The sequence below is a fragment of the Homo sapiens genome, chromosome 13 (genome assembly GCF_000001405.40).
Source record: "Homo sapiens chromosome 13, GRCh38.p14 Primary Assembly".
Lineage (NCBI taxonomy): Eukaryota > Metazoa > Chordata > Mammalia > Primates > Hominidae > Homo > Homo sapiens.
Genome location: NC_000013.11, coordinates 48953510 through 48980554, shown reverse-complemented (window position 1 = coordinate 48980554; position 27045 = coordinate 48953510). Strand labels below are relative to the sequence as shown.

At 40.0% G+C, this 27045-nt stretch overlaps 1 protein-coding gene across 5 annotated transcripts in view, besides 10 other annotated features; it reads right to left on the bottom strand.

Moving 5' to 3' along the window:
• The window catches only part of FNDC3A (fibronectin type III domain containing 3A), a 234489-nt gene extending 229225 nt beyond the window's left edge, over positions 1–5264 (bottom strand). For 3 of the 5 annotated variants that reach the window (NR_103528.2, NM_001278438.2, XM_017020443.2), the window contains exon 1: positions 3638–3893. The gene's annotated coding sequence lies outside the window, so the exon portion shown is untranslated. Of the gene's footprint in view, positions 1–3637; positions 3894–4377; positions 4644–5163 lie in introns of those variants that run through there. The other 2 variants (XM_017020440.3, NM_001079673.2) reach the window with 2 other exon arrangements.
• Positions 3609–3708: an enhancer, noted in NCBI's record as "active region_7741". NCBI's record gives its function as "activates an Ori minimal core promoter by ATAC-STARR-seq in GM12878 lymphoblastoid cells {active_cell/tissue: GM12878}" and the evidence as "EXISTENCE:reporter gene assay evidence [ECO:0000049][PMID:35858748]".
• Positions 3849–4328: a silencer, noted in NCBI's record as "silent region_5338". NCBI's record gives its function as "represses an Ori minimal core promoter by ATAC-STARR-seq in GM12878 lymphoblastoid cells {active_cell/tissue: GM12878}" and the evidence as "EXISTENCE:reporter gene assay evidence [ECO:0000049][PMID:35858748]".
• Positions 3849–5108: a biological region, named in NCBI's record as "H3K27ac hESC enhancers GRCh37_chr13:49549583-49550202 and GRCh37_chr13:49550203-49550822".
• Positions 3869–4488: an enhancer, noted in NCBI's record as "H3K27ac hESC enhancer chr13:49550203-49550822 (GRCh37/hg19 assembly coordinates)". NCBI's record gives its function as "activates a minimal SCP1, AML or CMV promoter by ChIP-STARR-seq in primed H9 embryonic stem cells {active_cell/tissue: H9 hESC(primed)}" and the evidence as "EXISTENCE:reporter gene assay evidence [ECO:0000049][PMID:30033119]".
• Positions 4379–4678: an enhancer, noted in NCBI's record as "active region_7740". NCBI's record gives its function as "activates an Ori minimal core promoter by ATAC-STARR-seq in GM12878 lymphoblastoid cells {active_cell/tissue: GM12878}" and the evidence as "EXISTENCE:reporter gene assay evidence [ECO:0000049][PMID:35858748]".
• Positions 4489–5108: an enhancer, noted in NCBI's record as "H3K27ac hESC enhancer chr13:49549583-49550202 (GRCh37/hg19 assembly coordinates)". NCBI's record gives its function as "activates a minimal SCP1, AML or CMV promoter by ChIP-STARR-seq in primed H9 embryonic stem cells {active_cell/tissue: H9 hESC(primed)}" and the evidence as "EXISTENCE:reporter gene assay evidence [ECO:0000049][PMID:30033119]".
• Positions 4659–4928: a silencer, noted in NCBI's record as "silent region_5337". NCBI's record gives its function as "represses an Ori minimal core promoter by ATAC-STARR-seq in GM12878 lymphoblastoid cells {active_cell/tissue: GM12878}" and the evidence as "EXISTENCE:reporter gene assay evidence [ECO:0000049][PMID:35858748]".
• Positions 5379–5438: an enhancer, noted in NCBI's record as "active region_7739". NCBI's record gives its function as "activates an Ori minimal core promoter by ATAC-STARR-seq in GM12878 lymphoblastoid cells {active_cell/tissue: GM12878}" and the evidence as "EXISTENCE:reporter gene assay evidence [ECO:0000049][PMID:35858748]".
• Positions 18846–19015: an enhancer, noted in NCBI's record as "active region_7738". NCBI's record gives its function as "activates an Ori minimal core promoter by ATAC-STARR-seq in GM12878 lymphoblastoid cells {active_cell/tissue: GM12878}" and the evidence as "EXISTENCE:reporter gene assay evidence [ECO:0000049][PMID:35858748]".
• Positions 22606–23107: an enhancer, noted in NCBI's record as "NANOG hESC enhancer chr13:49531584-49532085 (GRCh37/hg19 assembly coordinates)". NCBI's record gives its function as "activates a minimal SCP1, AML or CMV promoter by ChIP-STARR-seq in primed H9 embryonic stem cells {active_cell/tissue: H9 hESC(primed)}" and the evidence as "EXISTENCE:reporter gene assay evidence [ECO:0000049][PMID:30033119]".

Genomic DNA, 27045 nt, shown 5'->3' with positions numbered 1-27045 from the left:
AAGAGATCTCTAGGTCTTTCTTCCGTGCCTTAATGTGCACATGATATAATCTTTTCTTGATGACTCAAGCTCATCAATGTAAATATCAATTATTAGACTGTTCCATAACAGAGTGATTCTTTCTGGAGTACTGCAGAATGTCCAACTGCTTGTCCCTTTATTAACTCATCCTAGACTACTTCTAAAAACAAAGATCCCTACTGCCTGCTCCTCTGTTGTCACTTACAGACCACCAGCATCCTAGACAAGGTTTTTAACCTGCCAGCTGTTTTTAAAAATGTAAAACCAGCACAGGCAGTTGATACACCTAACCTTATACAAATTCTAAATCAAGCCACTGTGTAGCTATTTTCACTGTAGTAAGGCCTGACTCAAAGGCTTTTCGTCTTTCACTTCCTAATTCTGAGACCTATTCTAGGCTCTTGTTAGAAGTCTGGCCACAAAATAACAATTACAGAAGCACTTATTTCTACATACTTTTTTTTTAGGATAACATAAGGAAAAATATATACATGATAGTCATAAAACGCCCAAACCACCATATAGACAAGATGATGCAAGAAATTTCACAGTATGTGCTATATGGACAATTACTTTGCCAATTATTACCTAGCAGTCAGCAAACTAGGTCCCCTGGCCAAATCCAGTCCACAGATGGCTTGTTTTTGTTTGGCTCTTGAGACAACAATGTAAAAATTTTTACGTTTTTAAAAGATTATAAAAAACTAACAAACAAACAAGAACATTCAACCGAGACTGTAAATGGCCTGCAAAACCTAAAATATTTAATTATCTAGCACTCTACACAAAAAGTTGGCCGACCCCTGACCTAAGCCATACAAACAAACACATATAAGCTATCCATTATACATAAAGCTTAAGCTATTAATATGTCAAAGCTGAGGTATAGTTCTTTCAGTGATAGGTTCCTAATGATACAAACTGTCTTGTCCAGCTCTGCCTATTTTCCTCTTCTGATGCCCTGGTGCTTAAGCTAACATCTCGACCTAACTTTCTTTCTTTCTTCGTCCCAATTTCTGTCCTTGGATGCTCTTGGACTACTTATTCTACTACTACTTCCAACTCTGCCTGTGAATCTCTTTTGGAATGCCTTTCCTTTTGTTATCTAAATCATTTCTAAGTTTCCTCTGACTCCCTCCAAATGCCTTCCAGGATTGTTCTAGCTCTCACTGGCTTCACTTCCCTTTAAATTCCAGTTGGTGTCACACAACTTAATAATACCATATTATAATTTTTGCTAATGATACTATTAGTCTAGTACCCCCAACTAATTTGTAAACTACTTGAAGGAAGGAAGACATCACACTATGTTTGTATCCCCACTTTAATAACATTGCATCACCCTGCAAGCACATGACATCTCCCAGGTGTAGTTCTCAATCTTGGAGGAAAAAATAGCCCAAGGACTGGTAATGGGTGATAAGTGATTGGAAACATTGAAAGATGACACCCACAAAGGAACTTGATGGAAGACCACAGGTTACACAGAAAACTTGAAAGTATATATTAAAGACAAGCAAAACCACAACAGTGGGAAGACAGAAAGGTAAGAATAAAGATATAAAAAGAGACCACTGAATAATTATCTGAAATAAGACCAAAATATTAAGAAAATTATAAAAGCTCACAATACATGTAAAAGTACAAAATTTGCCTTTCAACATTAATGGCCACTAATTTCGTTTTAACAAGTAGTTTTTGACATTCACACATATGGGAGCCATATTTCTTGTTTTGCAATGTGATAAACTGAAGCAGTAAAAGGCTCAATGGAATAAATATGCACCATATTCTAAACCTTCGGAATTACAATATTGTGAGTTTATTTGAAGTCCGCTAGGCAATGCTAAAAACAAAACAAAAAAAACAAAAGCAAACAAAAAAAAACCAGAAACACTAATCACTTAGTTATCTGGCTAATAAAATTGGAAATCATGTGCATATCCCTACACCATTCTCAAAGACACGATCTAGATTCATTTTCATTCAAAAATGCACCAACAATGTTTCAAAAAAAAAACGTTTTTGGTTACTTCATCAAATTGTATTTTAAAAATACTGGCAGATTATAAAATACACAAGCCTTGGATGTCATGAACATCTTAAAAAATGCAAATGTTTTAAAACAGCGCAAATATTACTAAAAATTGATAAAGTATAAATTAAATGCTCTTTGCCTAAAACTACAAAAGACAATGAGAATATGAATCATGCATTCCCTCTTTTTTTCGGGGGGTTAAGGATGTCTCAGCCCTTAGCTATGTCTGGCTGGTCAGGGAAGAGGGAGAAATTTTTAAATTAGTAATAAAATATGCTTACTATTATATTGTAGAAATGTGACTAGTAAAGAGTAATCATTACATGTGTGTTAAAATAAATCAGGTCTCAATTACTCACACAGATAGAGGAAGTGAAGACACAGACGTCACCAAAAGAAGATAATCCTAGAATGTTTTTTTTAATGCTTATTATTAATTTGGGATAAATTAATTACCCTTATAACTATGCTTGACAGTGTTAACCAGGATTTTATTTTTCCGGAGCATTCAATGATTTGGAGGATTCAGACAAAAGGGAAAAAGAGGGAGTTAATTCAGAAGCATACAGGTGGCTAACGGTAGCCAGCCTGGGATAAAAAATTTTCCAGTTAACCTACACATAGAAAACTAACAGATGATCTATGAAATGAAACAAGACAATATAGTAAAATTTAATGTAGTAGTGCTAAAAAATTTAAATATAAGATTTAATATTAAAATTTTAACAAGATGTTTCTCCTGTCATCATCCCTTCTTCCCACTAACTGGTGTGATTAGAAAGCAAGATTAGTAGGCTACAAAGCTAAAAGCAACATTTCAGGTTATATTTCATAAAAGATGTGGTAAAAATCCTTCATCACTGTTTTCTGTTGGGCCACCATCTGTCTCAGTGAGTACTTCATCTCATTACTTAAGAAAAATTAATTCAACCAAGAAAATATCCAAAAGACAGGGGATTCAACTCACTTGAACATTTGTGGGTGACACAAGATGACAAGAGTTAGTAAATACGCAAAAACTAAATATTTATCCAAACATAAGATCAGAACCACAAAACTCAATTCGTTTCTGCCTAACATATGGCTCAAACTCCTGAGTGGCGTATGTTTAGTACTGGAGCTGGTAACAGCATGGTGATAAAATATTATAGTAAGAGTTCAACTGTTATTTCATTCCTACAATACAGAAGCATACACACTTTGGTTTCAAGAACTAAAAAACACAGACCACAGTAAGAAGCAAAATAATTACGTTGTTCGGTTTTAAAAACCCATAGTGAACACATAATGATTATACCGCAAAAAGAAAAAAAAAATCTCATCAGCCTGCGACTCTTATTTAATAGATGGTCAGACACAAAGGTGTCCAAAGGAACTTACGTAAAATCTCACAAAAGAAAATCTCGAATTCACAATCTCTAGCACCCCCAGCAAATCATCGCATTCCACCCTCTAAAATATCCCAAGGCTTGTAACGCTAACAGTTGAATAAAAGAACAATTAACGACCACATCCATTAAAACAGTCCCTCTTCTGCTCGCAATCTGACAGCGAAATTATCTGTTCATTTTCCTTTACCTAACACATGACGTCGTTTCCAAAGCCGTGTCAAAAGTTCGAAGATCCAGGTTGTTAAAACCGGGCGAGGACTGCAGCCTCGAGTCCACCTCCCGACTGAACAGGTGGTTAACTCGCCCGGGGAGAGGAACTGCCAGGTACTGGAAGCAGCCACGCAGGATCAAACAGAGGGCGGGTTTTCGAGGTTTTAACCCCAAGATGAGCGGGGAAAACTCTCTTCAGAAAAGCGTTCAAGTTCGGCGGCTGCCGGGCGGCCAAAGCCGAAGGCGCCGCGGGTGCTGGGCGATCCTCTCAGGAGGATTCCGCCCCAGCCCCCGCCCCCGCCCCCGCCCCCGAGCCCTCCGGAGCTACGCGGCTCGCCGCGGGGAGGAGGCGGGGGACAGAGAGAAGGGCCGCCCGCGCACCAGCGCCACCTCCCTCGGGCTAGATGCCGCCTCCTCTTGGGCTGGATGGCGCCCCCGGCCGCGCCCCCGCAAGCGTGTCCTGGCTAGGCTCGGCCCCGGCAGGTGCCCGACTAGTAGACCGGTCCTGTCCCCGGCCCCACTGCCCCTCTGCACCTCTGCCCACAGCGCGCCCACAGAAGGGGGTGGTCCGCGCCCCTCGACGGGGCCGAGCCCTGGAGAGTGCCCCGGCCCTCAGTCCCAGCCTAACGGTTTCCGCGGCGCCTCCTCCGGGGCGGGACGGGGTTGGGACGGCTCGGTGTCCCCCGCCTTTCGCGGAGGGAGTGCCCGCGCTCTCACCTCCGAGTCACGCCGTTCTGAGGCAGAAGGCGGCTCCTCTGGCGCCTCTTCTTAGGGTTCCTGATCGTTGTCTCTCTACCTCAGCTGCAGAGTCAGCTCTCAGGGCCGCCGCGGCCGCCGGCGCGCTGACTGTTGGGGTTGTTTCCTGGCAGTGACGCCGCCGCCTCAGCCCCGCTCTTCGCTCCCTCTCCGCGTAGCTCCCGCTTTCTGTTTCACCCGAGGGACCACGAACGCCGCCGCCGCCATGCTTACTACGGAGCCGGGAGGAGGAGCCCGAAGTCGGCGCGCCGAGTGCGGCTGCGCGGGCCCCGCCGACGGAGCCCGCGGCCGGGACCCCGAACCCCCGCCTCGAGCCCGCCGCGCCGGGGCTCTCTCACCGGAACGCGAGTCCCCGCGGGGCCACCGGCGCGTGGCGGCTGAGCGGCCGCGTTTGGCTCCCGGAGCGCCCACACCCTCTCGGGCTTCCGGCTTTCTCCCGAGGCCCGGCTGCGCCTGGCTTGTGGTAGCATCCGCTGTGGCCAGGCTCGGAGCTACACTCAGGAAAAGTGGAGTTAATGGAGGTTCCTAGAGACACTCACACAATTCTCAATCCACATTTCAAAAGGCTCCCCTGAGACGCACCCTGTCGGCCCCTTTCCGAAAGCACGCGAACTTAAGGCTGGCAGGTGCTTTAAAAGACACTCCTCCCAAGGACTAGGAAGCCTCTGAAATGGGCTTGGAAGTTTCTAATCCCAAAGACTTCGAACCCAGGATCTGGATAGCAAGCAAAAATATTTAGATATTTACTCAGTTGAAAACGTGGGGGGTGGCTTCGTGGTCTCTTCGCCAGCCAAATCGCGTGGAAAACCACGACCTCAATTTTTACAACAGCACGAAGACTTACAAGTGAGCGTAGCAGCGACTTCCTGGAACCTCAAACAATGTGGGACGCTGCAATAATGCCTGAGGGCTTTTGACTTACAGTTGCCGCCGGAGACCTGGGGAGGGGGTAGTACTTGGGCCGGTGAGTCCAGCCTCAGGAACTGTCCTTTCAAAAATGGTGATGGATGTAACAAGTTGCATGTCTGGGCTTTATTTCAGTGTATTAATTGTGCGATCTTTTAAAATAGCTGTATTTTTAAAACTGTTTTACAGAAATCTCTTTAAAATGTGATTATTCTCTATATTCTTAAAGAATACAATGGCTAATTAAATCCTTTGTTGATAACTGACTCTCAAACCGATATCTTGGCCATACGTTTAAGTCCCAGAGGATTGCTGCGGTGTATAGAATCCCTACTTTGGTGCTCTCTTTTTTTCCCTCTTTGGAATGTTCTCATCACCTCTTCTAAAATCCTTCACTGCTTTTCATCTCCTCATCTGCCTCTATCCACTCTGATCCTTCCTCTTATTCTTTCTGCTTTACTGTTTATTTTTCATTCTTCTCTCCTTTCTCGGCTGGTTTTCTCTGCGGCTCCAGGTGAAGATTGATGGGATGTTTATGTCCACAGCCAGCTAATGAGAGGTTTCTTTTCTTCTGGTTGTAAATAGGGCAGTGGTATCTTGAGATATTTTCATTGCTCTTCACTATCAGAAGTTCTTTCCCTGTGAGAGATGTTTCCTTTTCTTAACTTTTGGATTTGGCCCTCTTCGAGACAGCTGGCAAGTTGATCTTGGAATAATTGAAGTATAACTGTATATTGTTTCAAAGTATGAGGATTTTATCAGAGTGTGGGCGAATGGGGTGGCTTCCCCATCTTACTGCCCAACTATGCTTGGTCTGAGACTAAGATAGTGGTTTCCAAACTTACCGCTAAGCTAATACTTTCCTACTCTGCTTCCTACTCAGGAGCTTTTTGAAAATACAGAATCCTGCAATCTACCCCCTCAAGATTCTGATTCCTTTGTCCAGGGAGAGGCCAAGACATGGCACTTTTAAAAACTATATTTAAAAAAATATGTTTGGGACATGCCTACATGTAAAGGCAGAGTAAAGAAGATCAGCTGTTTTTGAAGGAGATTAACACATAATTTAAGAATGTTATTGAAGACCTAGAGATTGTAGTCAATAATATGCAATGCAGTAAGGTGAAGTAAAGTGAAGACCAAGGAATTTATGGCCTTTGGAGAGAAGAAAACCCACACATAAATGACCCTAGCATGTGCACCAGTATGAGTTCTCTGGGAACAGAGAGAGGGTCAAGAAATTATGTTGGCTTTGAACAAGTTCTCTTCTCAATGCTTCACTTTTTTTTTATCAATAAAATGGGAGCCATTTTCAATCCTCATCTTTCTTGGCCTCTCAACAATACTCAACACTTTGACCACTATTCTTTCTTAAACATTTCTTCTTCCTTTGACACTGCATTTTCTTGGTTTTCCTCCTTAGTTTCCTAGGCACTGCTTCTCTGATTCCTTTGCATATTCCTGCTGGTCTCCCTAACTATTAAATATAACAGTACCTTAAAATTCAGTTTTAGATTCTTTTCTGTTTTCATTGTAATCTCTTGGCCTAAGCAGCATCACCCACGCCAATGGCTTTAGTTATCATCTATATGCCAGTGATCTCCACATATATGCCTCCAGCCCAGACCTTTCCTCTAAATTCCAAATCTGATCCACTAGTCAAAGTTTGACCCTACCTCTAAATTCCAAGCTTCACTGACATGGCCACTTAATATCTCAAAGTTGCAAAGTTTAGTCCAACTGAGTTCATGAACACTTGTTTTCCTTATCCCCCATCTCTCTAGTTATTCAAATCAAATATCTAGTAGTCAGTAACCGCTGATGTCTCCCTCACCTCCATTCTTCCATTCTCCATATTTGTTGCAGCACTAACTCCTGGCAATTTTATTTCTAAAATCTAATTGGTCTACTTCTTTCCAATCACCACCAATCTAATTCGATCTCACTGTATACAATCTGGGATCCTCCATTCAGTCTCCATTTTGCAGCCAAAATTATCCTCTAAGAAAGCAAATGAGACTATGTCACTACTCCAAAAATCTCCTTAAACAGTTTCTCATTGCTTTAGGATAAGTCTAGAATTCTTAAGGCAGCCTAAAAGACCATACGAGGTCTGGCCTTACCTGCCTTTTCCAGCCTCATCTCACACCATTTTCACCTTGTTTCCTGGGCAGACTTCCTGGTCTTCTTTTAGTTTCTCAAAAATGCTATGATCCCAACAACCAAAGGCTCTATGTACATGCCATTCTCTCCTTTAGTTATCCTATCTCTTACTCATCCTTCAGGTCTCAGCTTGAAAGCGACATCCTTGGGAAAAACATTTCTGACCTCCCAGATACATTCAAGATACCTTGTTATGTCAGCTCTCTTACCACCATATACCCTCCCCTCTTATGACTTACCACAGCTTGTAACTACATTTTGGTATGTGTAACTACTAGGTTAATGTCTGTTGCTCCCCACATTAGGATAAAGACCATGTCTATTTGGGCCTGCACAGTGCCTGGCACATAGAAGCTACCCAATAAATATTTCTTGAATGATTATTGTCCTATGAGTTTATTTCTGGGATTCTAGAAGGTTGTTAGATCGGGAAATTAGATCACTGATCATTTTCAAGAGAGCAATCTTCTGTATGACTAGTGGGAAGAAATGCAGAAATGTGCTGGAAGACAATTCTCTGTGGGACTCTAGTATTTCTGCATGTCTTGTGAGCAGAGGCACTAACAGCTTTTGTTTTAGACTATATTTTCAAGGATTTTTTTTTTTTTTTGGTCAAACTGCCTTGGAAAATATACATAGTGTCCCCTGCCCTGCTCCCCCTCCCCGCCAAGAGCAGGGGCACATTTGTTTACCATCCAATATAGTGAAGATAATGTCTTTGGAGGTAAAGGTCAAGCAGGTTTTCTTGCAGCCTATTATAAAAAGATTGGGGATTTCCTAAGCTTAGATAGAGTTTCTCAGCTGTGAGGCAAACCCACTGCAGGTGCATCACTCACCTGAACCACACCATGTAGCTCCAGGTAAGACCTGGGGGCAAGGGAACTGACTGAACATGACACTGGCGCTGCTTGCTGTGCCATGAGTAATACAGCCCTTTGACTGCAAAGCCCCACGTCTTCTGCCAGCTTCCATGAAACTATAGCAGGTTAAGTGATTAGCTTGCAAGGAGGATGAAATCTCAGACCTTTCATAGTTCTTGACAAAGTACAGTGGGTTAAAGAGAAAGACGAAGATGAAGAAGTCAAACAGCAAGTGGAGACTATTTAGAAAGTTTGGAAAAAAAAGTTTGGTGATGAAGAGGAGAGATGGGACAGCAGATTGAGGTGGGAGGGGTGTGCTGACTGAATTCTCTGAACAATATTGGTGGCCTTAACTCTGAACAGATCCCGACAGAACACTATTGCTGTTGTTCCTCTCTTTGGTTAGGGAACAGGTGCAAATCTGAAAGAGGAGAAGGAGATGGAAGTGGTTGACCTGGAGGTACACCAGTTAAAGCAGCCAGAGCTTTTTTTTTTTTAATCTCTGAGAAGGGGTGTAGTATAATGTGGAGCAGGAAAGACAGGCTTTGGAGTCAGGTAGATCTGGGCTTCAGTCGCAGCTCTATTACTAACTGATTGATTGATCGATCTTAGGCTTGTTATCCAACCTTTCTGGCTTCAGTTCCTCAACTATAAACTAAGGATAAAATACCTACTTTGCAGGATTAAATTTCATAATGTATGAAGATGCCTGGTATATGCTTGATGCTCAATAAATAAATGTGAGCTACATGATTAGGATGTCCTGGCTAATTGTGATTTGGTGAGGTTGGGAAAATCCAGAACCTTCCTCCACATTTCCAAGGATTCTTGGAAAGGAACTTGGCCAGGGTGCACACTTGCTCTGATCCTGTTCCCGTTTCCATCCCACTCTGTGCTTTCCTATGGATGGAACAGCTCCTTCCCTAAAAGCAAAGGAAACAAGACACAGAATAGGAAGCGACTTCACATTTAATGTTGGCCATTCCCACCACAGGGAATTTCTCAGTAGCCATCATTCTTTTCGGATCACACCCTGCCACTATATTGCTGTGGGCCCCTCACCCTAACAAGAACCTTCTCTACATTTTTCTGAATTTCTGGGACTCCTAAAGCCACCTCTCTTTAAAACCACCAGGGGTGGGCCAAGCGCAGTGGCTCATACCTGTAATCCCAGCACTTTGGGAGGCCAAGGTGGGCAGATCATGAGGTCAGGAGTTTGAGACCAGCCTGACCAACATGGAGAAACTCTGTCTCTACTAAAAATACAAAAATTAGCCAGGCGTGGTGGCGCATGCCTGTAATGCCAGCTACTCGGGAGGCTAAGGCAGGAGAATCGTTTGAACCTGGGAGGCGGAGGTTGTGGTGTGCCGAGATCATGCCATTGCACTCCAGCCTGGGCAACAAGAGCGAAACTTCATCTTAAAAAAAAAAAAGAAGAAGAAGAAAAAACACACCAGGGCGGCAATTCCCAAATTCTTGTTAATTTATTCTTACTCAAAGCAATTTGGCTGTTTGTTTTCTGTCCTCACTTTTATACAGAATAGCCTTGGAACCTTAGCTTTATTTCAGAACTAAGATGTTTTATTAAAGTATTTTCCTAAACTAAAGAGTAACTGTCCTTGAGAAGTAGTTCTTAAACTTTGGCATGAATAAAAATCACCTGTGGCACTTGTTTAAGCTTTAGTGGTTCTACTACATACTCCCTTCTCACCCCAAGATTTGGATTCAAGAATCTGCATTTTATAAACACTCCAAGAGACTCTGATGAGGGTAGTCCATGGGTCATACCTTGAGCATCTTAGAGCAACCAGCTCAAACAAGAGTCAACTTTCACAAATAAGAATGTTTTTCCTCTCTGTAACATAGAGTTAAACTAGAGTTGGCTCAAGTGTTCAGGAAAACTGGTCATCTATGGTCCATGTCATTTATATTATTTATTCTCTATAGAGAAGGCAATTAGGAAAGACCAAGGAATTCCCTAATCACAAAATGATAATCCTAATAGTCCAAATTTGTCAATGTTAATGATATGGTTTCAAAGCAATGCCACTGGGGACAGTTACTTCCAAAGGGAAAAGACTTATCTGGTTACTGGCCAGGACTTCTTGAATAGCTTCCGGATCTGAAGGGGCTATACAATAATAGACAGATTATAAGGATTTTCTCTAGGTTGAAAAAATAAAGTTTCTATATTTCTCTTTTGGACTGTCAACAGCTCTTTGATGTTTTTTTTACCACTTTAGGATGCTTTGATAATAGCCCTGGGGTTGAACACACCACGATCATTATCCAGCATAACCAGATGACATATGAATCAATTTTAAAGACAGAAGAAGGAGATAGGCATCTATAAGAATAATGAGGCACAGGATGACTTGGAATTCTAAAAACACTCCCCAACTGCCTGGCTTTTATTTTCCCTCAAAAAAATCAAATTTCAAAACCAGAGCACTACTTTACCAAGATAACAATAAGACTTTAATCTGGACAAAATAAAAATAAAATTTAAATAAGTTAGGAAATGAAAATTCAGATACTCTAAATCCAGCTACAATTCACCAAACTTAAGAAAGATCGTCCTCAAATTTCAGAGGTAAATATTTAAACCAAATCACATTTTATGACTATCAGACAAATCAACAATCTATTCATGGTAGGTAAAGTAAAGATCAAGTTGCCTTTATTATTTTAAAATATAATGTAAAATTGAAGCAGGCATCTCTGAGATAAAGACAATGACATATAGTAATGGGAAACACTAGGAAAATCATTTATAAATAGAAGACTTTTAATGAAATAAAATACCAATTTTACTGATTTTAAATTTTTATCTATAAAGTTTTTAAAAATCAAGGCACATCTGAACTTGGCTTTTATTTTTTCTTTACACTGTACATATAAGACATAAACCCAGAATTATTATACCGAAAAAGAACAAAAGTCAAAATTAATTACTAATAATACTTAGCATTACTAAAAGAAGGTAAAATAAAGAGCCAACTCTAGTTTAACTCTATGTTACAGAGAGGAAAAACATTCTTATTTGTGAAAGTTGACTCTTGTTTGAGCTGGTTGCTCTAAGATGCTCAAATTATGACCCATGGACTACCCTCATCAGAGTCTCTTGGAGTGCTTATTTTCATTTAAAAATAATAAACTATGACTTTAACAAATAAATATTCAGCTTCAAATTAAAGAAGCTAATAGCTTAAAACAAAAGAAATTTGCCGGGCTTGGTGGCTTATGCCTGTAATCCCAGCACTATGAGAGGCCAAGGTGAGCGGATCACTTTAGGCCAGGAGTTTGAGACCAGTCCAGCCAACGTGGTGAAACCCTGTCTCTACTAAAAATACAAAAATTATCCCAGCCTGGTGGCGCCTGCCTGTAATCTCAGCTACTCAGGGAACTGAGGCACGAGAATTGCCTGAACCCGGGAGGCAGAGGTTGCAGTGAGCTGAGATTCCGCCACTGCACTTCAGCCTGGGTGACAGAGCAAGACCCTGTTTCCAAAAAAACAAAAACAAAAACAAAAACAAAAAAATAAAGAAGAAAAGAAAAAAAGAAAAAAACAAGGAAAAGAAAAACAAAAACAAACAAAAAAAGATATTCAAATATAGCCCGTTTTCCCAAGCTACACGAGACTAAGAGTAAAAATAGGGTTGTATGCCACTGCACTCCAGCCTGGGCGACAGAGTGAGACTCCATCTCAAAAAAAAAAAAAAAAAAAGGGTTGTAGTAAAAGTCTTAAAGAGTATTCATACGTTTCCCTATCCACATTCAGATTTCTTTCAGAAGATCCTAAGAACTCCCAGGGATTTGCTTTGTATTCTATGCCTTGTTTCCTTTGCTTTTAGGGAAGGAACACTTTAAGAAACAGTCCCCAGTCACCGTCTTCCTCCTCTGGCTCATTGAATTGTTTTCTCTTACTGCTTCCAAAGGCAACAATGCTCCCCAACTGCAATGCTGTTTGTGCTGAGGCTACCAAACCCTGATTTTTTTTTTTTTTTTTTTTGAGACAGAGCCTTGCTGTTGTTGGCCCAGGCTGGAGTGCAATGGCATGATCTTGGCTCACTGCAACATCTGCCTCCCGGGATCCAGCAATTCTCCTGCCTCAGCCTCCCGAGTAGCTGAGATTACAGGCGACCACCACCACGCCCGGCTGATATTTGTATTTTTAGTAGAGACGGGGTTTCACCATGTTGGCCAGGCTGGTCTCGAACTCCTGACCTCAGGTGATCTGCCCACCTTGGCCTCCCAAACTGCTGAGATTACAGGCAAGAGCTACCACGCCTGGCCGCAAACTCCTAATTTTAATGGCATTAATGCCTGTACCAAGACGCCATTTTTCACAGGCATCATCTCCTGTTGATATTGTCTTCAGTTCCAAAAGTCCCGTGTACATCACAGTGAAGCATTTAGTTATATTATTTGTTTGCTGCTCTAGGACTCAGGCATGAGTTCATGGGATAGATAACATGGTTCCATGAAGTCTTTTCCTCTAACCTTGGGCAATTGATCTTGAAGCAAACTTTTCATAGCTTTCTTCACTTAGGATGAATTTTTTCTTCCTTTGTTCTGCCAGTTCTGCAGATGTGCTGAAACATGCTCAAATTCTAGGGTAAAAAAACAGTGCTGGCCAGGCGCAGTGGCTCAGCCTGTAATCCCTGCACTCTAGGAGGCCAAGGCAGGTGGATCACGAGGTTAGGAGTTCAAGACCATCTTGGCCAAGATGGTGAAACTCCGTCTCTACTAAAAATACAAAAAAATTAGACAGGCGTTGTGGGGGTTGGGGGCACCTATAATCCCAGCTACTGGGGAGGCTAAGGCAGAGAATTGCTTGAACCCAGGAGGCAGAGGTTGTTGTGAGCCGAGATCATGCTGCTGCACTCCAGCCTGGGTGACAGAGCGAGAATCCATCTCAAAAAACAAACAAACAAACAAAAACAAAAAACAGTGCCACATTTCTTCAAGGCTACCAGGACCAGTCAGCCACGCCCTCTTGTCAGCATAAGTACCAACCACAGGACATCTCCCTCAAGACCTGAGTGCTAACTATATGAGGGCCCCTCTCCTTCATACTCCTAGATTTTCCCATTTGGTCCCCTGGCCCTGCTGCCCTGCAGGTGATAGCCACCTTTTCCAGCATCCCTCATTTGCTCTTTCAGTCTTCCAACATCTATGTGACTAATTTCTTAAATGAAATTCCTCTGTCTGAAATACGTAGCATGGTTTCTAATTTCTGAAGTCCTAGCCAGGACTTTGACTAATAGATTTTAACCAGAGAGACTTAAAATACCTGGTTATGGAGACAAAATACATTCATGCAAAAATATATTCAGTGATATAACATTTGACATGAAAAGCTCAGCTAACATTTGCCATAGAGCTCAAAGACAAGCAATCAGTTGCTATGAGATGATCGAAGATAGCCATTGTGCTTTTAAATTTTAACTGATTTTATTTAATGTTCAAAACAACATTGTGATCAAAGTACCATTAGTCTCACTCTTTAGACGAGAAACATTGCTGTGAGTGGTTAAACTTACATTCACATATGTACAGCTAAGAAAGTGACAGAGCTGGGATTCATACTTAGGCCTGTATGACTCCGACAAAGCGTCTTTGGGGCCAAGCCTTAGTCAGACTTCTGGGTCTTCTGCTAAGCCCCTCTGTGCACTTCCTTGTAAAATTCTGTTTTAGCAAAGAACCCTGCTAATTGACTTTAGCAAGAACTCCTATTCTCGATAGCTGATCATCCTTGATATCTGATCAAGTTTCTCATCTCTTGGGTGACGTCTAAACACTCTGGCCTGTCTTCAGCAAGAATCCTGTTAGGTCAGTTTAGCCAGAATCACTCTTACCCCTGATGTTATCTATAAAGTTTTTAAAAGTCAAGGCACACCTGCTGACCCCCACACTGCTCTGTGGCTCCAAATTCTTACTTGCCCATGCTCTACTGGGAATTGTGCCCAATCTCTCTCCCTGGCTACAAGGCCCCATTGCAGTGGTCCCTCTACCTATTATGATCATGCTGAATAAAATCCTCCTTATCATACTTTGACAAATATTATTCGATAACTTTGTCTTTAACAACTCTTAACACATTCATTCCGTTATTTCATGTTAGCTCAGAAGAGGTGAAATTTAAAATGAACCTTGAAGAATAGGCTTCAAATAGAATGATCAGAGTAGAGCACTCTTACAGGAAATATAGCTAACAAAGGTATGAAAGTGAGAAAATGCCAAGTATGCCTGGGGGTAAGAAATGAGCCAGCACAAACGTTTGTGATGGAAGGCATGGAGATACAGGGCAAAAAAAGAAGTTTGGCCTAAATTGAGGAGAACTTTGATTGGCACATGAGAAATTTTGGAACCACTTATTTTTAATCAGGAGTCAGAGGAGTAAAATGGCAAAAGTGGGAAAGATTTGATATTGTTGTTTACAGTCCCTTTTCATTATTACTTGTCAAGCCACAGTTGTTATCAAAGGCATTTTAAATAAGCAACACATTAAAACAAAACAAACAGGAAAAAAAATCTTTATAGATTACTGCCATTAGAAAAGGAATTTTAACTTTGTATAAATTAAAAAAAAACAGACATCAAACAAACAAAAACCTTATAAGAAAATTGTTTTTTTTTTTTTTGAGATGGAGTCTCACTCTGTTGTCCAGGCTGGAGTGCAGTGGCAGAATCTCAGCTCACTGCAAACTCTGCCTCCTGGGTTCAAGCGATTCTCCTGCCTCAGCCTCCTGAGTAGCTGGGATTACAGGTGCCCACCACCATGCCTGGCTAATTTTTGTATTTTTAGTAGAGACAGGGTTTCGCCATGTTGGCCAGGGTGGTCTTGAACTCCTGACCTCCTGATCCGCACACCTTGGCCTCCCAAGGTGCTGGGATTACAGGTGTGAGCCACCGCGCCTAGTCAGGAAATTGATTTTTATCACAGGAAAAAAAGGATATCTATTTATTCCTTGCTTTAAGATAAAGACCTAAAATAATTTACACAACTATGAGAAATGAAATAAGTACTTTTTAAAGAAAAGTATTATTATTCGACTAATATATCTTTAGGGAATAAAATGAAGAAATATTAAAACGACAAGCCAACAACGCTAAATTGAGAGATACTGATAAAGTGGGCCACCAATCAGCCTGTCAGTAAACTATTATGTTCTGTTACAAACCTCTCCTTGAAGCAATTGGATTCAGACACATTATGGGTTAGATAGACTTTTGTGGGCTAGCCTAGAAATTCAACTGTCATTTAGAACTTTGTTTCCGTGGCAAAATATCTCTACAAGTTCTAAACAGCAGACTTTCAAATTAACTTTTGGAATATAACCCATTTGCAACTTGGGGACTGCCTGTGCTTTGAATGTAGATTGTCTATTATAACCAGGGCTTTAACTCCACTGAATCTCAGAGGATTTCAAACTAGTTAGTTTGAAACCTTTCTTTCCAAATCCAATACCTTATTTGGGAAAGGGGCATTTTTAAAAGTAACCTATCTGGTGTGAAGAAAAGGCAAATACAATAACTTTTTTCCAGTAAGGGGCTAATTAAAATTATAAGGAAAAAATACTTTGTTTCTAAGAAGAGACATTTTGTCTGTAAGAATTTTAAAAATTTAAGTATTTATAAAATTATGTAATGGAAGACAAGATTTGTTTTCACTCTTTTTGCATGTAGTTTGTCTCTACAATGCAAAAGTAACAAAAAGTAAGCATTTGAATCAATTATCTTTAGAATGACTGTTTAGTACTCTTCTTAATAATAACATTTGAGCAGGGCGCAGTGGCTCACGCCTGTAATCCCAGCACTTTGGGAGGACGAGGTGGGCGGATCACCTGAGGTCAGGAGTTCAAGACCAGCCTGGCCAACATGGTGAAACCCCACCTCTACTAAAAATACAAAAATTAGCCGAGCATGGTGGCGCATACCCGTAATCCCAGCCGCTCTGAAAGCTGAGGCGGGAGAATCACTTGAACCCGAAAGGTGGAGGTTGCAGTGAGCAGAGATCATGCCATTACACTCCACCCTGGGCAACAGAGCAAGACTCCATCTCAAAAAATAATAATAGTAATGACATTTGGATATTTTAGGTAAAATTTTTCTAGAATAGAACTGTAAAAATTGTTTTAGTAATTTTCCATTGGACAATACATGAACAGTTTCAGGCAAAGACCTATAAGTGATGCCTGGTATTAAAAATGGTCTATTTTCAAGATAACGAAATGCTTATTGATCAGGAAAAGGATATAAAATACTTTATTGGATTTCCAGTTAATTTTATGCTTTAAGTAACTTCTTGTTTCCTCTTTAACAAGAGAATAATTGAGGTAGATTCAGCATAATAAGAAATATCTCTCTCTTCCATCAACTCATACTTTATTGAAGAATTTAGTTAAGCTGATAATTCAGAGCTGATAGATTTGGGAGGTACTCTATACCTCATGGCCTCTAATGGCCAATAGCATCTCCTCAGTTATTTTGATTATCGAAATTACCCCCTCACATTTCTCAAATGCACCACAGGGGACAGCATTGCCCCACTTGCGGACCTCTCTATTAGATGATCTCCTTGTTGGGGTTCTTAATGTGGGGTCCACAGAGACCCATATGCTTTCAGAAGGCCTATGAACTTGGAAGGAAAAAACAAAACATGTGCCTTCATGTTCAATATGGCATACCTGTTACTTTGTCAAATACTACTATTTAATACTTTTTTTTTTTGAGACGGAGTCTCGCTCTGTCACAGGCTGGAGTGCAGTGGCACAATCTCGGCTCACTGCAATCTCTGCCTCCCGGGTTCAAGTGATTCTCCTACCTCAGCCTGCCAAGTAGCTGGGACTACAGGCGTGCGCCAACACGCCCGACTAATTTTTGTAGTCTTAGTAGAGACGGAGTTTCACCATGTTGGCCAGGATGGGCTTGGTCTCTTGCCTCGTGATTCATCCGCCTTGGCCTCCCAAAGTGCTGAGATTACAGGTGTGAGCCACCATGCGCGGCCTTATTTAATACTCTTATTCAAGTTAAGCAACAATAACCCTCACATTAATATTTCTTTGCCTATAATTTATATGTATTTGCTTGCTATTTAGAGCATTAGTAAAGAAGCACATTTCTTTTTAAAAAATGTTAACTGTATGTCAATATAATTGTTTTATTTTGTTTTGTGTATTTCATTTTATGCACATAAAAACATTATTTTTAGAAGTGGGGTCCATGGGCTTTACTAGATAGCTAAAGGGGTCTATCATACTAAAAGAAGTCTAAAATTCTAGGACTAGGGCCTCAACATCTTGGTATTGTTCTGCCCAAGTTAGCTCCTTAGGATAGGGTTAAATTAAAGGGTATGATTATGGATCAGAACCAGGACCTCAGTGAGGAAGTGTCCAAGAGAAGCATATGAAGGAAAAAAATCAACATAACTCAGAAATATAGTTAGACCATATTTGTAGCAATATAGTTAGACAAGCATAAGACAGGAATGAAAGAAGGTATTGACAGAGTGCTGGACAGAGTCTCTTTGACCCATTTTCTCTTTTCATCAGGTTAAACCCTGGGTTCTCAAACTTTGGTGTGCGTGCCAATTCTGAAGAGTTTGTTAGGTATTATTGCTTCAACTGAATTGGAATCACTGGAGGTGGAGCATCATACTTGTAGTGTATATGACTCATAGACCAAACTCTGAGAAACCTGGGCTACACATGTACCTCTTGTACAACGTTTTAAAGGCACTAGTCAGCACGTGATTGCACTTTACTGCTCCATTGCTCTGAAAAGTCCTTCTCTTATTTCATTTCCTTGGTACGTTTTTCTTATCTGTTAAGCCTAGAGCACAAGTAGACTCCTCCACATTTATGCCTTCCCAAAGCCTGCCCACTCTTTCCACAGTCCTTTATACATTTCTCAGTGCAATAGAGATTTTTTTGTATGAAATTATAATTATTTGTTCAAATGTTGACATCACTACACTGAAATCCTCAAGGACGGTGGCTATTTCTATTCATTGTAGTTTTCTTCCCACCTACATCTCAGGTAGTTAACTTGAACTGAAAATGAAGAAATTCTCTTTTCATTGAGAATTCTCACAGACTTATTTTAAAATGAATCTCTTGTAGATTCAGACTTCTTAGTTAAATAAGAGTGTTACTCATTTTACCTTTTCTTCTCTTAGGTCAAATTTCTTGGGAATATAAACATGTATATGCACCTACATATTATAAGAAATGTCCTATGTTAATTAATGTGGCAGAGATAGTTGCCACCCCATATGCATTTTCCCCTTCTTACATACGAGCCATAAAAACAAAACAAAGCAAAACAAAAACCTATATTTCCCAGTCTTCTTGCAAATAAGGGCAACCTTGTCACCCAGCTCTGAGCTGTGAACAGAAATTACTGGATAGGCCTTCCAGGAAGACCTCTTAGAAGGAGTACTGATTTAGCTGGTTTGCGCATTTTTGTCCTTTTCCCTTTCACCTTCCCCTTCCTATCTGGAACATGGACACAATGTTGGGATGTGAAGTGGCCACACTGGGGCCACAAGATGATGTGCAACGTAGGATGGTTGAGTGAAAAGATACAAGGAGTCTGAGTCCTGACCCCATTGTGGAGCTGCTGACCAACCCTGAACTTTTTACTTCCCTATTTCTTGTAACTAGATGAAAATGAAACACTGATTCATTTAAGTTACCCTTCCTTCCTTTCTTTTTTTTAAATTAAAAAAAAATTTTAGCACTCAGATTCTGACAGACCCCCCTTCCTTTCTTCCTTCTTCCCTCCTTTCTTTCCTTCCTTCTCTCCTTTTCCCCTCTTCCTCCTTCTTCTTCTCTTTATCCTCCTCCTCTTCTCCCTCTCATTCCCTCTGTCAGGTTTCACAGTATAATGCAAACGTTGACTGATAGTTATTTTGCCTCATCAATGTCTAGGGTATTAGTTAACCTACGTTAGTATAGCAGAAAACAAACTAAAGAACTGCCTATTATTTGGTTGCCTATTTGACTAAAACAGACTATTCTATCTGGCTTCTCCATCCCTAAACTTACTTAAAACCTCATCACACTTTAGCCATGTAACTTATTTGATAAAATAAAATAAATGGCTGTATTTTGACTGGGTTTTCTCTGAAATACTTGATGCCCAAAAATATTTCATTAAAAGAAATTACGTCTTATATCTGCAAATAGGAGATTGATTAGATAAATTATTTTATATTACATAGTAATATATGAATATTAAAAAGGATGCTGTTTGTCTACCTTGATTGGCACCAAAAGAGCACCATGACATATCGTTAAGTGAAAAACGGTTATAAAATAGCATATAAATTAATGTCTCACTTATAAAAGTCATTCATATATGTATGTATGTGTATATATATATATTTATACACATATACAGCTGCCTAAACAATGTTTACTATAGCCTCCAATAACTAACTGTGGTAGGATTTAAGATGACTTTTACTATGTGTCATGTAATTTTATATATTGCTTGCATTTCCAAATGACTGTGAATGTATGATCTTTACGATATCAAAAATAAAAACAGTACTTTTTTTTTTAAAAGTAGAGTAATAGTAAGAATGTTCTTACTAAACATAAAACATTTTTCCTAAGAATTTTATTTAATCAAGTAACAATTTGAGAGGATAAAGCAAAGGACAGGATTTTAAGTCATCAGAAAGCACTTGAGCTCTTGGACTACTCCCTGGAGCTCTAAGTTGCCATGGTAAGGTCTTACTGGACCATGATGCTGTGAAGGCCACATATAGGTGCATACCAAACCTGCGTCTAGCCTTCCAGTCACCCCACCGATGTACAGGTCAGTAATGGAAGCCATCTTGGACTCTCGAAACCAGCCTCTTGGCCAGCAGACTGCCACCAAATGATCTCTGTCAACTCTACATGGGACAGATGAATGACCCACCTAAATCCTGACATACAACATCATGATACACAATAAAGTGATTGTTGTTAGGGTAAAACGACTTGAATTCTCATCATTCTCCTGTCTTGGTTTAGTGGTTCTACCTACCCAGGTACCCTCTTCTAAGGCTGGAGCTTTAGGGTAGCTCTCTTGTTTGGTATCTAGAGCCTGTCTGAAACTGAGGGATCCCTGGCAGAATTTCTCTCTCTTGTTCCATCTATTTTACAAGTGTCCATTTTTAAACCTTTCTACTGTTAAACACAGAAAGCCACAATATTATCAATATGTTTAAGAAGAAAGGGACAGGCCGGGCGCAGTGTCTCACGCCTGTGGTCCCAGCACTTTGGGAGGCCGAGGCGGGCGGATCACGAGGTCGAGACCATCCTGGATAAAACAGTGAAACCCCGTCTGTACTAAAAATACAAAAAATTAGCCGGGCGTGGTGGCAGGCGCCTGTAGTCCCAGCTACTCGGGAGGCTGAGGCAGGAGAATGGCGTGAACCCGGGAGGCGGAGCTTGCAGTGAGCCGAGATCGCGCCACTGCACTCCAGCCTGGGCGACAGAGCGAAACTCCGTCTGAAAAAAAAAAAAAAAAAAAAAAAGAAGAAGAAGAAGAAAGGGACACTGATTAAAGAATCAATGACAATGTAGTTCTAAAGAAAACATGTACTGAAATATACAGTAATCACTGTGAAGATCAGCAGGGCTACTGCAATGCAACCTCTTTGGGTTTTAGGGAAATGGAACTCCCTGAAGTTACATAACAACAGTGGATTGGGAGACACTTTGGGAAAATTCAATGAAATGTAAGCGATACAGCCCTCGAAGTATTTATAATCTAGCTTGGGGGGGGGGCAAATATAGTCAGAGAGCAAGATGAAGATAACCAACAAAACTTTTGTCTTTTTTTTTCTGAGACAGAGGCTCACTCTGTCCCCCAGGTTGGAGTGCAGTGGCACTATCTCGGCTTACTGCAACCTCTGCCTCCCGGGTTCAAGCGATTCTCCTGCCTCAGCCTCCCTAGTAGCTGGGATCACAGGCACACACCACCACACCTAGGTAATTTTTGTATTTTTCGTAGAGACGGGGTTTCACCATGTTGGCCAGGCTGGTCTCGAACTCCTGACCTCAAGTGATCCTCCTGCCTTAGCCTCCCAAAGTGCTGGGATTACAGATGTGAGCCGCCGCACCCAGCCTAAAACTTCTTTCTTGTATGCATGTCTCATACACAATACATGTACAAGTGCCATAGGATTTAAAAAATGGAAGAGATTCATTGTAGGCTAGCATGACCTAGAAAGTTCCTGGAAAGGGTGATATCCATTTGATCCTTGCAGGTAAAGACGGAGTCTTATAGGCACACAAGAGGGAAAAATGCCTTCCCTGTTTCAAAGGAGTTCATTGAACTAGAACACCTTTACCTATTATGCCCTTGAAGAATTTTTTTTTCCTACCTCATCATTTAAATACTTTCTCTTAGAGGAAAAACTTACATTATACAAAGTATTATATACGAGGTATTGTAACTAGCTTCTCAAGAGAGTAGAAAGGCTCAACTAGTGTGAAAAACAAATCCTTAAATTAACTTTATCTGGAATCTGTTGTGAAATGTTACATTTATAAATGAAACAAGAGAAATCTGAGATCCTAAAAGGTTTTTATTTTCTTAGTACTTATTTAAGTCCTTCATATATTGGTATTAGTTTCTTATAATGTTAGAAATTAGATAAATCCAACTCAGGGAATAGGAGCAGGATTCTCAGGCTTTTATTTTATTGTACCTCTTCTGCTCACAGCACAAGGCTGTTCGCACATCATATTCTCAGCTCATAGTTGCTGAATGAAGAAATACATGAATAAAGAACAAGGAAGATTCAGAGGAAGAAAATAGCAAAATCTGGTTAGCACATTCTAGTAAATATTTAGGCTGCTAAAATTGAAACCAAATTACCTTGTTTATGAACAGATTACTTCAACTTTTTAAAAAGCAAGTTGCATAATTTAAATGTCTCTTGCTAGTTCTCATTTCTTGATAGATTCCCTGCATTTCTCTAGTTATGCTAAAACTGCTTTTGGCTTTTAACCTCCAATATTTCACTGTGACTCAATTTACTTTTTAAAAACAAAGAACTGATTAAAGTTATGAGGTTGAACTGGTAGAAGTTATGAGGTCACTATCACAACCTTTAAAATTGATTCGTAATTCAGTAAATATTTTCTTTGTTTTCATTTTTGAGGGGTTTTTTGCAATGAACATATATTTGTTTTGTAATAAAGGGAAAGGAACATTAAATTTTATTGAAAAATATAGTAGATCTTAAAGGATATTAAAAGGTTCAGGGTTTTAACCAGTTACTCACTGTCCATGGTTCAGGGTGATTGTAGAGCAATTATTTTCTCCCTATTTTCCACTGTCACTGTACTGTAACATGTGACATTCAACAATTTAATTGGATTCAAGTTAAGGGGCTCTCCTGCCCTGCTTGGAACAGATCTTAATAGGTAGTTACTGTATTTAAAACTCTTTGAAGAAGAAAGGTGTTATTTAAGTATTAAGCATTGTTATGAACATCCTGCCTTTTAAAAGCTCAAAGGGAAAGACAAAAGGGCCTGTCTTTATTAGTATTTCAAATTAAACTGGGAAGAATAAATTATTTTCATACCATCTAATCTTTCCTACATGCCCCCACCACCTCCATCGTAGATTTGATTTCAGTCCAATCTACAGTAGGAGAGAGATGTAAACCCAACCTCTAATTTTCCTTTTAGTACTAATAAAAACGTTTACTACATATTTTTCCTGAATGTTTGTTTGTATGCACAACCTTGTAGGAATCAGTTTCTGCTAATGAGGTTTAACAATATTCTCATAAGCAGCTCTACTTGCCCCCCAAAATAAATAAGTAATACAAGGACATGTGGCATTCAGTTTGTGTCTTATAAAGCATTTTGCCAAGTCCTTTAACTGTGATATGATAGTGTAGATTTGTCTGAGTATAATCGTCATTCCTGGAAGAGTCATCAAAGATACCTTTAGAGGTTAGTTACTGGGAAGTTTTTTATTCTTTTTCAGGGAATGAGCAACAGCCTTAATACTATTGCCAGTTAAATTAATTGAATGATCAGACCGTTTGCATGAAGTCAATTTTTATGACTGTTATGTGTGATGCTTATGGGGATCCAGCCAGACCCCATAGCTTTTCAACCTCCTGAGTTACAATTCCAAAGGCATTAAGTTAGCCAAAGAGCTCATGATTTGATATAACTGATATTTTGAGGGGTTCAAGTTAAATTTCAAAATGATGTTAAAGTCCCAAATAACAACTTTGAATAACTATCAAAAGTACAATGATTCAAAAAAGAGCATGTCTAAGCAGATTAGAGACTCAACTGAGATGACCATAAATTTAGACTGGATAATTAGAAGATATAATTTTTGGCTCAGTGGGATGTGCTTTTAATTCAACACCAGTTATTTTTGGTAGAAGATAGAGTCCTAATATTTCAAATGAAGCAGCACCATGTTAAATTACCTGTTCTAAAATGAAGACTTCTTTCTCTTCATGAGATTCCCATTTAGAAGTATGGTGTGATAAAGTAAAATTTAGACTGTGTACCAAATTGAAAGTATGAAATTCCATCTTTAATTACTTGAGGAATTAAGTACTTGCAAAGCCATGGTTATTCAGAGGGCTATTTTGCCTCCATCTAGGTAAATGTATAGATTTCAGAAAACCAAACTTCTTATTGCCTCATTACAAGAGTAGAATTTCAGTTCAAAATATAATTTCCTTCTCAACACATGAGAGCTGACAAAGCAGGAATTTAAGTTAAAAGCCTGAACTTATTGTATGCTGGTATTCTTGCAGTTATAACATAGCAGCCTCAAATTAAATGTTTACTATGTCCCTCAAAATGGATGATCCAGAACCTGATGACATCATTTGGGCTATCTAGAGAGTTCATTGCATGATGTTAATATCAGCTAGGAGCCCTATTAAGAGGTTTGGGACAATCATCTTGAGTCATTGAGCTTAGTTTATTAATCATGGAATATAAATGTAAGCTAAGTATAAAAGAGTGGGAAGCCTAGTCTTAAAAATAACTTTAACCGGGCATGGTGGCTCACGCCTGTAATCTCAGCCCTTTGGGAGGCTGAGGAGGGTGGATCATTTGAGGTCAGGAGTTTGAGACCGGCCTGGCCAACATGGTGAAATCCCGTCTCTACTAAAATTACAAAAATTAGCCAGGCATGGTGGTGCACACCTGTAATCCCAACTACTTGGGAGGCTGAGGCTGGAGAATCGCTTGAACCTGGAAGGTGGAGGTTGCAGTGAGCTGAGATTGTACCACTGCACTCCATCCAGCCTGGGTGACAGAGTGAGACTCTGTCTCAGAAAAAAAAGAAAAACAAAAAAAGAAACTTGAGAGTTCAACGTTCAACTTCATATTAACAGGTGCTCTCCTTACCTTGCACTTGTACTTTGGTCCACTTTCAGATTCTCTCTTCTCTTGGAATAACACCTCCACCATCCCCCAGCTGCTGGGCATATTGGCTGCTTTCAGCTCACAGTGTTTCTCACTGGAAATAACCTGCTGCCACAGAGAGCCGCCTTAATCAAAGAACCACTCCCTCTAAGGCAGCTTATGGTCAATGACTGGCTGATATGGGAATAAGAGGCCTCTTGAGGGGTCATCCCAGCCCTAGAGCTCCTTGTAGGTTTGGATGAGGTCTCAATTGCAACAGCTTTGAGGGTTAGCTCCTCTGCTCCCAACTGCATTCCTCACTTTTTTACAGGTCTATCTTCTGAGAGCATTCTCCATGTGAATGTTTTGCAATCAACACCTGATCTATTCCAATCAACACCTCATCTCTTCCCATTTTCAGGGAAGCCAATTTAAGACAGAGGCTGTCATCATGTACTGGCCTATTGTATTGGCACAACATGTGGATTCATAGGTTGAACTTCTGGTCAAAAATATTAATACTGCCACCCTGCCTAAGGGGTTTTCAATATTATCTTCACCAAGCCATCTCCTTGAATTAGTCCTGAAAGCATATGATATGTAGGAAATTTATACCTTTAATTAATATATGAGTTTCCTAGCAGAAAACTGGATAGAAGTTGTTCTGCTGTCTAGGTAAGATTGGATGAGCTATAGAAAAAGGAGAGGAGAGAAAAAGGCTTTATGAGGCCTAACTGGGAGGAAAAGTTCATAGTGGGGTTCCCTGGTGCTTTATGTATGTGTGACTCAGGGAGGAATGGGAGAAGGATCACATCAGGACAGTGGGTACCTGGAGTCAGGGATGCTGAAAAGGAGGCTGTGGAAGGGAGCTAATTGACAATTTTTGCTTTAAGATGACTCTAAAATGAAGCTACTTTAGACCATTACTGTCCACACAGACACATTTTTCTTCTGAACTCCTTTTCCCACTCATTTTGGTGCTCCATCTTATTTTGTCAAGTGTCATTTAAATATTTGATAGGATATAGGAGTATACTTTTTCTCATACTTCTTTTGAATGCCTTATAATATTAACATAAAACTATGCAGGGAATAGGGGTTCAATAAGTAGTTGTTAAATGAATGAATGAATAAATGAATGAATGGATAAATGTAAGATGGAAGGAATACCAAGTTAGAAAAGAAAAAAGCATTAGTGGTCCAAAGGTCCTAAAATGTGGATTTAACACAACATTTTTTTTTGTAAGAATCAATGCATAGATATATTTTGATGTTGACTGAATCCAAATGATATTTTTGAGATGGCACTTATGATCCTAAATTGCAGGTGATCTAAACATCTTGTTATAAGAGATAATGGGCTTCATGTAATTTCAGTACATATCACGACTCAGTGAGAGTGAAGAGACCTACTGGATAGTTACATGCATTATGTAAACTCTGAGTCATGAACGGCTTCTTTTTGTTCCGGGGAGCCAAGTTACAGAAGCCCCCACTCCTTCTGCTGAACACAGGGTTCTGCCCTGTCACCGAGAACAAAGATGCAGACTGCAGAACACTTTTGTGTCTAGAGGCCTAAATGGCTGTAAAATGACTCCATTTCCGGATGAAATAACCAGGCTCCTATTTCTCTTGGACAAAGTCTCGGTACATTCCTTTCTTCCCCTTAATCCAACTGACCAAAATATTCAGGTAAAACATTTCTAGGAATAGTTTGAAATGAGGATAATAACCATTCCCTTTTACCACACTCCATTTTTCCAGAAAAGATAATTTCTTTTTTAACTGATGCTTATTAAGAACACTCTGCAGTTACTCCTTCCTCCAAATCAAATATCTAACTAAAAATATTAAAAATCAGTCTGCCTGTATTCATAAAGTAAAACCTGTGAGTGTAATCCTTTGCATAAGATTACCCAAAACAGATGTAAATGTGAGTGGGTGTAATATTGAACCAAATAATGATCTCTTTCTAAAAGGTTAAATCATTTATGTTCATAAGACCAAAATAAACAAAGCTCCCTCCTTGCTTTGGTCTTGCCATAACCCTTAAGGTGGTCTGCTATGACATTATTCGTTTGAAATGTGACAAGCTATTCTTAAAGTGACACATTTAAAACCACATTCAATAAATGGAATCTATGCTGAAAGTTATTAATAATTTACAATAGAAAGAACTTAATTACTTAGAAATAGTAGTTAACCTGAAATGCATTTGTTGCAGTCTGTAGTTAGGAAAAACAGAAACAGCTGGTGATGACAATGACTTACTAGCAAAAGCAGCTTCTAGAGAAAAA